The following is a 15,135-nucleotide window of genomic DNA, read 5'->3' as shown; positions in this document are numbered from 1 at the left end:
GTGGCCTAGGCTGGAATGCAGTGGTGCATTCACAGTTCACTGCAACCTCAAGCAAACCTCCCACCTTAGCCTCCCAGGTAGCTGGGACCCCAGGTGTGCACCACCACACCTGGTTAATATTTTATTACTTGTAGAGATGGAGACTTGCTATGCTGCCCAGGCTGGTCTCAAACTCCTGGACTCAAGCAATCCTCTTGCCTTGGCAACCCAAAATGCTGGGATTACAGATATGAGCCACAGTGCCCAACCTATTTATTTATTTATTTATTTAATAAAGAAAAGGTCTCACTATGTTGCCCAGGCTGGTCAACTCCTGGACTCAAATGATTCTTCAAACTTGGCCTCTCAAAATGTTGGGATTACAGGTATGAGCCACCATGCCTGGCCTAAAAATAGTATTATATTTTTGCATTATATAATTTTCAATTAGGTAATATGAATATTCTGTACAGGAAATATGCCCTTAATTACACAGGAATAAACATTTGTTATACTGAGAAAAATCTATTAGAGCTAAAAATAAAAATTAATTTGGAGAGGTCATTAGACACTCATATATTCTTACGTTTATACATTCTTTCATATATTCATATATTCTTTTAACAGTATCAATGGTTTGGAGTTATGTGTACAAAACCATGACCTATATGTAATACAACTAATAACAAGCACTTACAATTCAAGGCATATTATATACAAAGCTTTAACTTCTCATCATCATATTTTGTTTTTTTTTCTTTCTGTTTTGGCAGATACTATGAACACAACATTCAACTCACAGACACTATGGAGCCCTTACTAAGCATAAAGTACTGTGAAAGGTCAGGGCTAGGACAGAACTGAGACAGGGCCAGGGATAGGACAGAACTGGGGCAGGGTCATGGCCAGAGAAAAACCAGGGGCAGGGTCACGGCCAGGGACATGAGAGGACCAAGGCCAGGGCCAGAAGTAGGGCAGAACCAGGGCCAGGGCAGGAACATGGCAGGGCCAGGGCCATGGCAGGATCAGGGTCAGCAGAAGGCCAGGGCAGGGTTAAGGTAGCACAGGGCCAAGACAGGGCAGGGTCAGTGTAGAGCAAGGAACGGGCCAGGGTATGGCAAGGCAGGGACAGGGAGGTCCAGGGCCAGAGTCAGTTCCAGGATATGGACAGGGCAGGGCCAGAAACATGGCAGGACCAGAAAGGGGACAGGGCAAGGGCAAGGCCAGAAAAGGACCATGGTAAAAACATGGCCAGGGAGGGTCCAGGGCAAGGGCAAGGCCAGGGCAGAACCAGAGCCAGGGCAGGCCAAAGGCAGGGCCAGGGCAGGGCAATGCCAGGGTGGGGCATGGCCAGTGTAGGGTGAGGGTAGGGCCAGGGCAAGTTCTGGGCCAGGGCAGGACTAAGATAGCACAGGGCCAAGGCCAAGGACCTGTACTAAGATAGCACAGGGCCAGGGCAGGGCCAAAGGAGGGCCAGGGCCAAGCATGCCCAGTGTGGGGCCTGGGGATTGTCAGGGCCAGGGCCAGGGTCAAGGCTGAGCCAGGGACAGGGCCAGAGCAAGGGCAGGGCCAGGGAGAAGGCAGAACCAGAGAGGATCCAGAGAAACAGCAGGGCCAGGGCAGAACCAGGACCAGGATAAGGCAAAGCCAAGGCCAGGGCAGGGCAAGACCAGGGAAGGGCAAGGCCAGGGTAGAAAAGACCAGTGTACAGCCAGGCCAGGGTAGGAAAAGGCCATGGTAGGGCCAAGGCCAAGGCGGGGCAGGGCTAGGGTAGCACAGGGCATGGCCAAAAACAGGGCAGGGCCATAGCAGTGGCAGGACTAGGAACAGGGCCAGGGCAAGCGCTGGACCAGAGCATGGTGGGGACAATACAGGGCCAGGACAGATGACGGGATGGCAGGTCCAAGGTCGTTTCATGGACTCGATAGACCTGGGGTCAGGCCAGGGCAGGGAAAGTGCAAGGCCAAGGAGAAGGCAGGGTCGGGGCCAAGGCACTGCCAGGGCAGGGCAGGACCAGTGCAGGGTGAGGGCAAGGCCAGGGCATGGAAGGGCAGGGCAGGACCAAGGAAGGGCCAGGAGAGTACCATGGCAGAGTCAAGGCCAGAACAAGGGTATGGCTGGGGTCAGGAATAAGGTAGGGCAAGGGCTGGGCTCAGGCTGGGACATGAAGGGCAGAGCATGGCCTGTGCAAGGCAGGGCCAGAGCCAGGCCATAGAGATGGGAGGGCAACACCAAGGCAGAGTCAGGGTAGATCCAAGGCTGAGCAGAGTCAGGGTGGGTCCAGAGTCGAGGCAGAGCTAGGGCACAAGCAGGGCCATGGCAGCACCAGGGCAGAGGAGGGCAGGGCAATGCAGGACTGGGCCATGGCAGTGCCTGGTCAACTGCAGGGCAGGGTCAGAAGCAGGACAGGGCCAGGGCCAATGCTCAAGCCAGGGACAGGTCATGACAGGAAGTGCCAGAGCAGGGCTGGGCCAATGTAGGGGCAGGGCAAATCAGACCAGGACACCTCCAAGTCCAGCTCTGGCCCTCCCTTGGCCCTGGCCCCTTCCTGACCTGACCTTGTCCCTGGCCCTGCCCTATCCATGCCCTGTGTGTTTGACCAGTGTTTTATAACCAGAATCCTACAAGAAACTTAAATCAGCTCTTTTTGTGCATTTTTAGTAGAGATGAGGTTTCACAATGTTGCCCAGGCTGGTTCCAAACTCCTGAGCTCAAGCCATCTGCCTGCCTTGGCCTCCCAAAGTGCTGGGATTACAGGAGTAATCTGGCCAAGTATTTAACTTCTTTATGCCTGTTTCCTACATTTGGAAAATGGGGATGCTTTAAGTACCTAGCACATAGAATTATTGTGAGAATCAATGCCACACATATTAACATATTGATAAAATTATACTCATAGAACAGTACTGGAAGCAGAGATAGTATTAGTTAAAATTTAGTGATTATTTACTGTAAATATTATTACTATTACAAACAACATAGTATAGACATTATTACCACTACTATAGTTATCTTAAAAATCTAAAATAAAAATTTTATGTAATAGCCTAATGTAATCTCTCCTGCTCTGTCCCGTCTCAGCCCTAGTGCCGGCTCCGCCCCTAGTCCTACCACATCCCTGGCCCTGACCCTTCCCTGGTCCTGCCACTGCCCTGGCCCTTCCCATCTTCAGGCCTTACCATGGCCCTACCCTGGTCCTGACCCTGGCCCTACCCCAGAGAAGGGGTATGGCAGAGCCAGGGAAGGGCCGGGGCAAATAAAGGACGGGACACATCCAAATCCAGGAAAGGGCCAGGGCCATGACAGAGCCAGGGCAAGTCCTTGGCAGGGCCAGGTTCCAGGCCAGGGCCAGGAAGGGGTCATGGCATGGTCACTGTATGGCCAAGGTCCAGGCCAAAGCCAAGGCAGGGGCAGGGTCAGGCCTGCATAAGGGCAGGACCAGAGCCAGTGATACAGCAGGGCCAGGTCCAGGGCCAGGACTGTGCCAGGACAGAACAAGAGCAGAGCAGGGCAGGACCAGAGTCAGGCCATAGAGAGAGTAGGGCAAATGCCAAGGCAAGGCCAGGGTAGTGCCAGGGCTGAGGCAAGGTCAGGGAAGGTCCAGGGCTGAGTCAAGGCTGGAACAAAGACAGGGGTAAAGGCCGGGGCAGATCTAGGGCACAAGCAGGGCAGGCTAGGGCAGGGCAATGGCAAGACCAGGCCATGGCAGGGCCAGCCCAGGATAGAACAGGGCACAGGCAGGGCAGCGCCAGGGCCACGGCTGGGGCAGGACAAGGACCAGGACCGGGGTCCAGGCCAGGGCAAGGGTATGGGCAGGGCAGAGGTAGGGCCAGAACCGGGGTCTGGGCAGGACCAAGCAGTGTCCATTGCAGGGCCAGGGTTCAGACCAGGGCCAGAGCAGGGCTGGGACAAGGCCAGGGCCAGGAACAGGAAAGGGCAATATCAGGATAAGAACCATGGCAGGACCAGCAACGGGGCTAGGGCCAGGACAGGGACAGGGACAGGGACAGGGACAGGGTCAGGGCTAGGGCAAGAATAGCATGCCAGGGTAGAACCAGGCCAAATTAGGGCCAGGACAGGGTCAGGACCAGGGCTGGGCCAGGATATAGCCTTAAGTAGTGAAGGGCCAGGGCCAGGGTCCATGCCAGTGCCAGCGCCGGTCCAGGGCAGGGGCAGGGCCATGGCCAGGTCAAGGACAAGTCTGGGGCAGGGCCAAGGTCCAGGTCAGGGTAAGCACAAGACCAGGACAGAGCCAGGGGAGGGACAGGGCCATGGTAGGGCCAGGTTAAATCAGGGACAAGACACCTGCAAATCCACTTCAGGGCCAGGGTCAGGGCAGGGCCAGTTCAGGGCCAGGGCCAAGACAAGGCCAGGGCCAGGGCTCTCAGGGTCATTGGCAGGGCCAGGGCCATGGCAGGACCAGGGTCAGAAGCAGGGGTCAATGTCAGGCCAAGGCCACAGACAGGACCAGGTCTGTGCTAGGGCCAGTGTGAGGGCCAAGGTGGGGTCAGGGCAGGGCTAAAGGGAGGGCAGGGTGGAACAGGCCCAGGGTAGCACAGGGTTAAGGTAGGGCACGACCAACCAGGGCAGGTCTATGGCTGGGGCCGGGGCAGGGCAAGGGCCGGGGCAGGGCCAGAGCCAGGGCAGGGCAAAGAGTGGCAGCTCCAGGGCAGGGCCAGGGTTAGGACCATGGACATGTCCAAGGCCAGTGCCAGGGCAAGGACAAGGGCAGGGGCAGGGCCAGTGTCATCTAAGAACCAGGGACAAAGCCAGGCCCAGAGCAGGGACAGGACAGGTACCTGGCAGGGCTAGGGTCTGGGACAGGGCCATGGCAGGGCCAGGGCCACAACCAGGTCTGTGCTATGGCCAGGTCCAACACAGTGCCCAGGTAAGGCTAGGGTGAAGGCCAAGGTAGGGCCAGGGCAGGGTCAAAGCCAGGCTAGGGCCAAGGCAGGACCAGGGCCGGCAAGGCAGGGCCAGGAAAGCATAGGGCCAAGGCAGGGCAGGGCCAGGCCAGTGCCAAGACCTGGGCAGGGCCAGGGAACAGCCAGGGCAGGGCCAGGGCCAGGGCCTGGGCAGTACCAGGTTTGGGGCAGGAGCAAAACAAGGGCAAGAACAGTGCAGGATCTTGGCACAGCCAGGGTCCAGGACAGTGTCAGGGCAAGGCCAAGGAAGGGTCAGGGCGATGGTAAGACCAGCAACAGGGCTGGGGCTAAGCCAGTGACAGGACCAGAGTCAGGGCAAGGGCCAGAGCAGTGCAAGGCCAGGGTAGGGCCAGGCATTTCAGAGTCAGGGCCAGGGGAGAACCAGGGCAAGATCTCAAGCAGGGAAGGGCCAGGGCCAGGACAGGTCCAGGGCAGGGCCATGACAGGGCCAGGGGCTGTGTTAGGGCAAGGGCAGGGCCAGAGCAAGGTAAGGGTCAGGGCCAAGGCCAGGGTAGGGACAGGGCAAGAAATATGGCATGACCAGGGGCAAAGCCAAGGCCAAGGTTGGGCCAGGGCTGAGCCAGGGCTGAGTCAAGGCAGGGCAGGGCAGGGCACGGTATGGCCAGTGCAGGACAGGACAAAAGTCGGTCCACAGAGAGAGCAGGGCTGATGCCAAGAAAGAGCCAGGCTAGTGCCAAGGCTGAGGCAGTGTCAGAGCATGTCCGGGGCAGGGCCAGGGCCAGGGCCAGAACCGAGCCAGGGCACAGCCAAGGCAGGGTAAGGCAGGGAAATAGCATGGCCGTGTCAGTACTGGGACAGGGCAGAGCAGGGCAAGGCGATGGTAGGGGCAGGGCAGGGACAGGCCAATGCAGAGCCATGTTACGCTGGGGCCAGGACACCTCCAAGTCCACTTCAGGGCCAGGGCTATGGCAGGACAAAGACCAGGTCCAGGGTCTGGGCCAGGTCTGTGCTAGGGCCAGCTCCAGAGCAGGGCCTAGCGAAGACTAGGGTGAGGGCCAAGGTAAGGCCAGGGCAGGATCAAAGGCAGAGTAGGGCCAGGGCAGGGTGATGACACATCCAGAGCACAGTAGGGCAGGTTAATGGCAAGACCAGGGGCAGACCACTGCCAGCTCAGGGCCAAGGAAAGGCCAGTGCAGAGCCAGGAAAGGGTCAGGGCCAGGTAAAAGGCAGAGCAGGGCTAGGGCCATGGCAGAGTCAGGTCAGGTCCTTGACAGGACCAGGTTCCAGGCCAGGGCCAGGGCAGCAGCAGGGGCAGGGCCTGGATAAGGGCAGGGCCAGGGATATGGCAGGACCAGGGCTAGGGCCAGGGCCAGGCCATAGTGAGGGCAGGGCAAAATTCGAGGCAGGGTCTGGGCAGGTCCAGGGAGCGGCCAGCACCAAGCGGGGCAAGGCACAACCAGCACAGTGTAAGGCAGGGCAGTGGCACCACTGGGCCATGACAGGGCAAGGTCAGTGCCAGGAGAGGGCAGAACAGGCAGGCCCATGGTGGGGCCAGGGAAGGGATGGGCCAAAGCAGGACCAGGACATGTCCAAGGCCAGGTCAGGGACAGAACAGGACTAGGACCATGACCACTGGCAGGGCCAGTGCCATGACATGACCAGGGTCAGGACAAGAGGCAGGGTCAGAGCCAGGGCCAGAGCCAAGATCAGGCCAGTGCAGGTTCATGGCAGGGCCAGTGCCAGGGCAACACCAGGGCAGGGACAGGGTAGCACAGGGCAGCACAGGGCCAAGACAGGGTCAGGATGGGACCAGAGCAGGATAGGGCCGAGACAGTCCAGGTAACAGTAGGGCAGGTACAGGGCAAGGCAGGGCAAAGCCAGGCCCATTGCCAATGCACCAGCCCTCCCTACAAGGCTCCTACCACCTGGCCACTGCTGCAGCCCGTCCATCGCTCTAAACCTGACCCCCAACCCTGGCTGCAGCCGCCTGCCCTCCTAGCGTGGCCGCTCTCCTACCTCTCTGGCACACTGCAGTCTCCGTCGCTGCCACCCACCCGCAGTGAGGCGAGTCATGGTGTCGCAGGCTCTAGGTGTCTCCTCCTCCTCCTGGCATGGAGTAGCTGGGCGGGCAAAGCCAGAAAAGCCTAGAGGAAGAGCGGTGGAAGGGTTAGAGCCTCAACTTGTCATGCTGGCCACTGGGTGGCAGGGGCCAGTTTCAGCAAAGGAACTCACACCCACCCTCCAAAGTCCAGCCTCTCCTTTTGGCCCAAGCTGGCCGGGAACTGGTGTCTGGGGTGGGTGCTGGAGACACCACAGCACCCAGCTCCCCACTCCACAGGAACCATTGGGCCCACCAGGGCTGCACTCCTCAGGGAACAGGAGAAGCAGAAAAATTCAGACCCAGCCAGCCCTCCGCACCCAGGTGCCAATTCCTGTTCCGGACGCCTCCACACACAAGGCCCTGTTCCCCGTGGTGTCCCCAGGGGTGCCTGGCAGCCTCTGAGGCACAGACCCAGAGTGCACAGGCCCAGGAACCACGGTGGGTGTGGGGGCTCTGCCATGCTCAAGATTCCCACGCAAACGCTGTGTGCCTGCCGCACTCAAGTATGACCAAAAGTGGGTCACCCTCTGGAGTGTGGAGTCAGGGAGAAGAGAACCACTCCTTCCTTGGATGCCAACTCTGCTGACCGCCGCCAGCAGTGCAGCCCCTGATAGCACCGAACTCCCCCGCCCTCCACAGCTAGTCCTGCCCTCAATAGCGCCCCCCACCTCCGTCCCCCAATGCCGCCAGTAGCGTATACCCGATAGTTCCCTAACCTGTCCTCCTCCATGGGCATTGCAGCCCCAGAAAATGCCCATAACCCACCCTCCCTGCCGTGGGCAGTGCAACCCTGTACAGTGCTACCAACCAGTACCCCTAATGCAGGCAATGACACCCTGGATAGCGCCCCCAACCCACCCCACACTGCGAAAGGTGCAGCCCTGTATAGCCCCTGTGCTACCACTCTGGTCATGCTGCAGTCTCTGTCACCACCACCACCAACCACAGTGAGGCAAGCCAGTGGGCCACAGGCTCTAGCACCCAGCAGCCAGGCACGTAGCAGCTCTTGCCAATGGCCGGCTCCTACTTGACCATGCTGCTATCTCCGTGGCCATCTTCTTTGACTACAAAGGAATAAAACTAGATATCAATAAGAAGAGTAATTTTGGAAACAATACAATCACATGGAAGTTAAACACTACCCTCCTGAATAAATGACTAGCGGGTCAATGAACATACTAAGACAGAAATTCAAAAATTTCATGAAACAAAGGGTAACGAAAACACAGTATACCAAAACTTGTTATGCAGAAAGCAGTACAAAGGCAGAGATTTACAGCTATAAGTGCCTACTATCCAAACAAAAGAAAAACTTCAAATAAACAATACATCTTAAAGAACTAGTAAAGTAAGAACAAACTAAACCGAAAATAAGAAAATAAATAAGATCGTAGCAGAAATAAAATTGAAAGAAAAAACACACAAGATTAAACGAAAAGTTGGTTTTCTGGAAAGCAAAACAAAATTGACAAACTTTTAACCAGGCTAACTAAGAAAAGAGAGACAAGATTCAAATAAATAAAATCAACAGATAAAAAAAGGAGACATTACAACTAATACTTCAGAAATTCAAAGGATCATAACTGGTTATTATATGCCAATAAATTGGAAAGCCTAGTAGAAATTGGCAAATTCCTAGATGCATACAACCTACTTAGGTTGAACAATGAAAACATCCAAGACCAGAACAGATTGGTAACAAGTAATGAGATTGAAGCCATCAGGAAAAGTCTCCCAGTAAAGAAAAGCCCAGGAACTGATGTCTTCACTGCTGATGGCTTCACACCAAACAATTTAAAGACCTAGTACGAATCCTACTCAAACTATTTTGAAAAACAGGAGGGAATACTTCCAAACTTATTCTATGAGACCATTATTACTGTGATACCAAAATCAGACAAAGACATCAAAGAAGGAAACTACAGGCCAGTATCTCTAATATTGATGCAAAAATCCTCAACAAAATACCAGTGAATCAAATTCAGTAATACATTAAAAAGATAATTCATCATGATCAAGTGGGATGTATCCCTGGGATGCAAGGGTCAATCAACATACAATGTGATACATCATATCAACCAAATAAACGACAAAAACAGTATGATCATGTCAACTGAAACTGAAAAAGCATTTGATGAAATTCAACATCCCTTCATGCTATAAATCCTCAAAGAAACGGGTACAGAAGAAACATATTGCAACATAATAAAAACTACAGGAAAGACATCCACAGCTAGAATCATATAGAGTGAGGTCCAGGCTGCAGTGAGCTGTGATCCCACCACTGCACTCCAGCCTGGGCAACAGAGTGAAACCCTGTCTCAAAAAAAAAATATGTAAAAAGAGGTATGAGCCTCTTTTATAGGTGCAGTTACTCACATCTGTAATCCCAACACTTTCTGGGAGGCTGAGGTGAGAGGATCTCTTGAAGCCAGGAGTTCAAGATCAGCCTGGGCAACATAGCGAGACCCTTTATCTACAAAAAATTTTTAAATATTTGCCAGGTGTGGTGGCACGTGCCTGTAGTCTTAAACAATTATCATGTGACCCAGATAGTGTATTCCTTAGGGATATACCCAAGGGAAATGAAAATATACATCCACACTAAAATTTGTACACAAATGTTCACAGCAGCATTGTGCATAATAGCCAAAAATTGGAAAAAAAGCTCAAGTGCCTATCAGCAGAGGAACTGATAAAATATGGTATATCCATTCAAAAGATTACTCAGCATTAAAAAAGAATGAAGTGCTGATATACGCTACAGCATGGATAAACCTTGAAAACACTGTGCCAAGTGAAATAAGTCAATCACAAAGACCATATGTAGTAAGATTTCATTCTGTGAAACCTCCAGAAGAGCTAAACTCAGAGACAGAAAGTAGGCTAGTTATTGCCAGGGACTAGGGGAAAAGGGAATAAGGATGACTGCTAATGGGTATGGGATTTCTTGTGGACTGATGAAAATGGTCTGAAAGTATCTAGATACCTGTCTTGTTTGTGCGATTCTGTGAACATATTATAAACCACAAAATTCTGCACTCGAGGGGTAGATTTCATGGTAGGTGAATTTATCTCATTTATCTTTATCTCAATAAAGCTTTTTAAAGACACTTTAAAAAGACATATCTGTATAAGCTACAAAAATAACACACTGAGAGACTAAAATGCTTAATTTTTCCATTTTTCTTCTTCAGCACAATCTCAAGTCCAAAAGTCTTTCCTTCCTATATATGCATATTTTGTCCAGTGAAACCAGAAACTCTATTAACTTTTTTATTAGAAATAAAAAAAAAGCCAGGTGTGCTGGCTCACAGCTGTGCTTCCAGCTACTCAGAAGGCCGAGGCAGAAGGATCACTTGAGGCCAAGACTGGGAGTTCAAGACCAGCTGAGGCAACATAGCTAGATCCTGTCTTTAAAAATATTTTTTAGGCCAGGCACGGTGGCTCACGCCTGTAATCCCAGCACTTTGGGAGGCCAAGGAGGGCAGATCATTTGAGATTAGGAGTTCAAAACCAGCCTGGACAACATGGTGAAACCCCATCTCTACTAAAAATATAAAAATTAGCCAGGTGTGGTGGTGGGCACCTGTAGTCCCAGCTACTTGGGAGGCTAAGGCAGGAGAATTGCTTGAGCTGGGAGGGTGGAGGCTGCAGTGAGGCCAAAATCATGCCATTGCACTCCAGCCTGGGTGACAGAGCAAGACTCCATCTAGGAAAAACAAAAATATATATATATGTGTATATATATATATATATTTTAAGTTAAAACCCTACTGAAATGAAACTAATAAAATAAAATTCAACTTAAATAAAAAAAGTTCCTGAAATATTAATTTTCAAGCAATTCTATTTTAGCTTTGACTCTGAACAAAATATAAACCTCAATTTCAAAGTATCACAAAGATTGGCTGGGGGCAGTGGCTCATGCCTGTAATTCCAGCACTTTGGGAGGACAAGGCAGGTGGATCACTAGAGGCCAGGAGTTCCAGAGCAGCCTGGCCAACATAGGGAAACCCAGTCTCTACTAAAAAAATACAACAAAAATTAGCCGGGTCTAGTAACCCCAGCTACTCAGGAGGCTGAGGCATTAGAATCGCTGGAATCTGGGAGGTGGAGGTTGTAGTGAGTGGAGATCATGCCACAGCACTCCAACCTGGGCGACAGACTGAGACTCTGTCTCAAAAAAGTAAAAATAAGGCCAGGTGCTGTGGCTCACGCCTGTAATCCCAGCACTTTGGGAGGCGAAGGTGGGCAGATCACTTGAGGTCAAGGAGTTTGGGACCAGCCTGGGCAACACAGTGAAACCTCCTCTCTACTAAAAATACATAAATTAGCTGGGCGTGGTGGCACACACTTGTAATGCCAGCTACACCAGAGGCTGAGGCAGGGCAATCGCTTGAATTCGGGAGGTGGAGGTTGTAGTGACCTGAGATTGTGCTACTGCACTCCAGCCTGGATGACAGAGTGAGACTCCATCTCAAAAAAAAAAAGAAAAAAAAAAGAAAACTTATATTTAAAGTTTAAAAAAATCACAAAGACAACAAATACTCAGGTTTAAGCAAATTCCCACTTTTCTTGAATTAACAGTAATTCATATTTGCTTTGTCAAAAATGTAGATATTTACATGCCCCAACGGAATGAAATCCTAAAAGCCTAGTGTTCGCAAATGATGAAGAGAAAGAAACATGCATATTTTAATTTAGAATTTTGATTCAGAATTAATTTTAACCTAGCTGGAGTATACATAATCATTTATGTATTTATTTACTTATTTAAGAGACTGGGTTTCGCTGTGTTATCCAGGCTGGAATGCAGTGGCACAACCTTGGCTCACTGCAACTTGTACTTCCTCAGCTCAAGCAATCCTCCCACCTCAGCCTCCAGAGTAGCTGGGACTGCAAATGCACGCTACCACACTCAGCTAATTTTTGCGGAGACGAGCCTCGCTATGTTTCCCACATTGGCCTCTAACTCCTTGGCTCACTACAGCCTCAAGCCCCTGGGCTCAAGCAATCTGCCTCCCAAAGTGCTGAGATTACAGGAGTGAGCCACCGCAACCAGCCTAGTGGATAGTGTATACTAAGCAACATATACCCTGCTTTTGCCTAGAACATACTGAAAACATGGCATTAAAAACAATCACGAAAGTTGGGAGCTGAGAAAAATCATATACTGTAAAACAAATCTGACAGATATTAATCTCAAGAAACTCCTGAAAATGTCTCAAGAACTCCTATGCTGCACTATCCCTAATAATTTAGATTTTCTACAGATATTTTCTGATCATCTACCATGTGCCAGGCACCATGCCAGGTACCAAGATGCCATGGTGAGGTATACACAAAACTGGCTCCTGCTTGCAGGAAGCCTACTCTCTAAAACAGTGCTTGCCAAGCTCGACTGATCACAACTTGGGAGCTTAAGTTCCAAATCGGCTTCCCTGCTTTGGTGAGCCACAATCCGTGGCATTTTTATCAGGCGCTCCCAATGATTCCTACACTCTAACGGGTTTGGGAGGCAAGGGTGGGGGTAAGCTGGAGAGCCCAGAGCCATCCCGTCCAGCGGGAGCCCCACCTCTAAAGTCCATGTCGCTCAGCATCCTTCCCCCTGACTAGTGGCCCAAACACAGCACGAAGCTGAGGTGGGTAGAACGCTTTCCAAAATGGCACTCTGTGATGAGCCACCGACAGACTTGCTCGCCTCCAGGGACGAAGAGCTCACTCCTCACAAACCCCACCTGGGAAAGGTAGCACCTGAGCCTCCTGGGCTGCGCCGACACTTGTCTCCCCGCGGGTGCCGCCTACTGCTCTGGTGGACTCCAGTCCCCAGATTCCGCCCCACAGGGACTGGGGGGAGGGGGGAGGCGCCGCGCGCATTAGGCCCCGACTGTATACCGACCCCCCCTCCGGTGTGCTCAGGCCAACACCCATACACACCCTCACACACCCACACACACCCACACACACTCCCATGGAAACTGAGGCAGACAGGCGGTAGACCAGGTCCAGCCGCCTGACAGCTCGCGGCTGGGATCGAACCCGGACTGCAAGACGCCTTCCGCCTCACAGGCGCTCCTCAGCCGCTGAGGCCTGGCCTGGCTGCCACCGCCGGAGTTTCACAAAGAAAGTCTCCCGGCCCGAGCCCCTCACGCACTCACCGGCGCTGACGCCGGCTGCGACTCGGGCTCCCGCCGCCTTCAGCTCCTTGCGGGGGTCGGCCCTTGGGTCGGCTCGGGCGCCGGCGGCGACGACTGCTCCATATCCACGGGGTCCTGGCCGCGTCGGCCTCGAGCTAACGGTCCCGCCAGGTAGGCGCGCGCGCCAGTTCCGCGCGCCATGTTCCCGCCCTGCTGCGCGCCCCCGCGGCGACCCTCACTGCCCCCCAACCGCGCTCGACCCCCCTCCCCGCGCGCCCTGCCTCGCGCCCTCTGGAGCTGGCCGCTGTTCCCAGTGTCTCACCCACCCACGCCGGGCCTGTCCGACTTGGCGGGTGAGCGCGTGGTTCCCGGTTCCGCACCGCCGCCTGCCTCTCTGCAGACCACCCCAGACCTGACCCCTCGGCCACTTTCCCACACTGCCCCTTTCGCTTCCCCTACGACGCGGGGCCTAGGACGAGGGTCTGGGCCAAGAGGAACTTCCCCGCAAGAAGTGCCAAGCTAAGGACGCTACTAAGGGGGCGGGATCACCACAGTGGAGGTGTGCAAGCACGTGCCTGTGTCCCGGAGACAGCCAGACTCAACGGAGAAGATGAGTTCAACTCCCACATCTCCACTATCCCTTGCGTGTTAGGGTCAGGGCTTCGGGACTTGTTTCTCCTAAATCTTTTTCTTTTTTTTTTTTGAGACAGTCTCGCTCTGTCACCCAGGCTGGAGTGCTGTGGCCCGATCTTGGCTCACTGCAAGCTCCGCCTCCCGGGTTCATGCCATTCTCCTGCCTCAGCCTCCTGAGCAGCTGAGACTACAGGCGCCTGCCACCGCCTGCTAATTTTTGTATTTTTAGTAGAGGTGGGGTTTCACCGTGTTAGCCAGGATGGTCTCCATCTCCTGACCTCGTGATCCTCCTGCCTCGGCCTCCCAAAGTGCTGAGATTACAGGCGTGAGCCAGCGCGCTCGGCCTGTTTCTCCTAAATCTAAAGACTCAATATGATAATCAAGAGAACGCCTCAGTACCGCACCTAGCACTTAGTAGGTAGTGATCAAGAGAGAAGACCTCTTAAGTGGTTTTAATGGTTAAGGACCACAGGTTCTCAAGAAAGGGAAATCTCAATTCAAGTCCCGCCTCCATCTCTTGGAAACTGAGAAACCTTGAACAAGTCACTCAGAGGAGCCAAAGATCCTTGATTTCTACATGTGCAAAAGGGGAGTGTGGCAGTAGCACTGCACAGGGTTGACTGAGCTTTCAGGGAGATGATGACTGTACGATCATGCCTCTCTTAATCACAGGATGGTTCTGAGAAATACCTCCTTAGGTGATTGCAGCATTGTGCAAACAGCAAAGTGCATTTACACAAACCTTGTATAGCCTTGTATAGCCTACAAAACACCTAGGCTGTATGGCATAGCCTATTGCTCCTAGGCTACACACCTGTACAGCCTGATACTTTACTGAATATAGCATAAGCAGTTGTAACACAATGTAAGTACTTGTGTACCTGAACATAAAGAAGGTACAGTAAGAATAGAGTATAAGAGATTTTAAAATGGTACTCCTGTATAGGGCACTTACCATGAAAGGAGCTTGCAGGACTGGAAGATGCTGTGGTGAGTCATTGAGTGTGAAGGCATAGGACCTTACTGTACACTACTGTAGACTTTATAAACATCATATGCTTAGGCTACACCAAAATTTTTTAAAGCTTTTCTTCAATAAATTAACCTTAGCTTACTGAAATGTATCTTAAAAAATTTTGCCAGTCGTGGTGTCTCACACCTGTAATCCCAGCACTTTGGGAGGCCGAGGCAGGCAGATCGTTTGAGGTCAGGAGTTCGAGACCATCCTGGCCAACAGGGTGAAACCCTCATCTCTACTAAAAATACAAAACTTAGTCAGGCATAGTGGTGTGCACCTGTAATCCCAGCTACTCAGGAGACTGACGGAGGAGAATCGCTTGAACCCAGGAGGTGGAGGTTGCAGTGAGCCGAGATCATGCCACTGCACTCCAGCCTG

This window comes from Homo sapiens, chromosome 2, assembly GCF_000001405.40.
Source record: "Homo sapiens chromosome 2, GRCh38.p14 Primary Assembly".
Lineage (NCBI taxonomy): Eukaryota > Metazoa > Chordata > Mammalia > Primates > Hominidae > Homo > Homo sapiens.
This window is presented reverse-complemented; position numbering follows the sequence as displayed.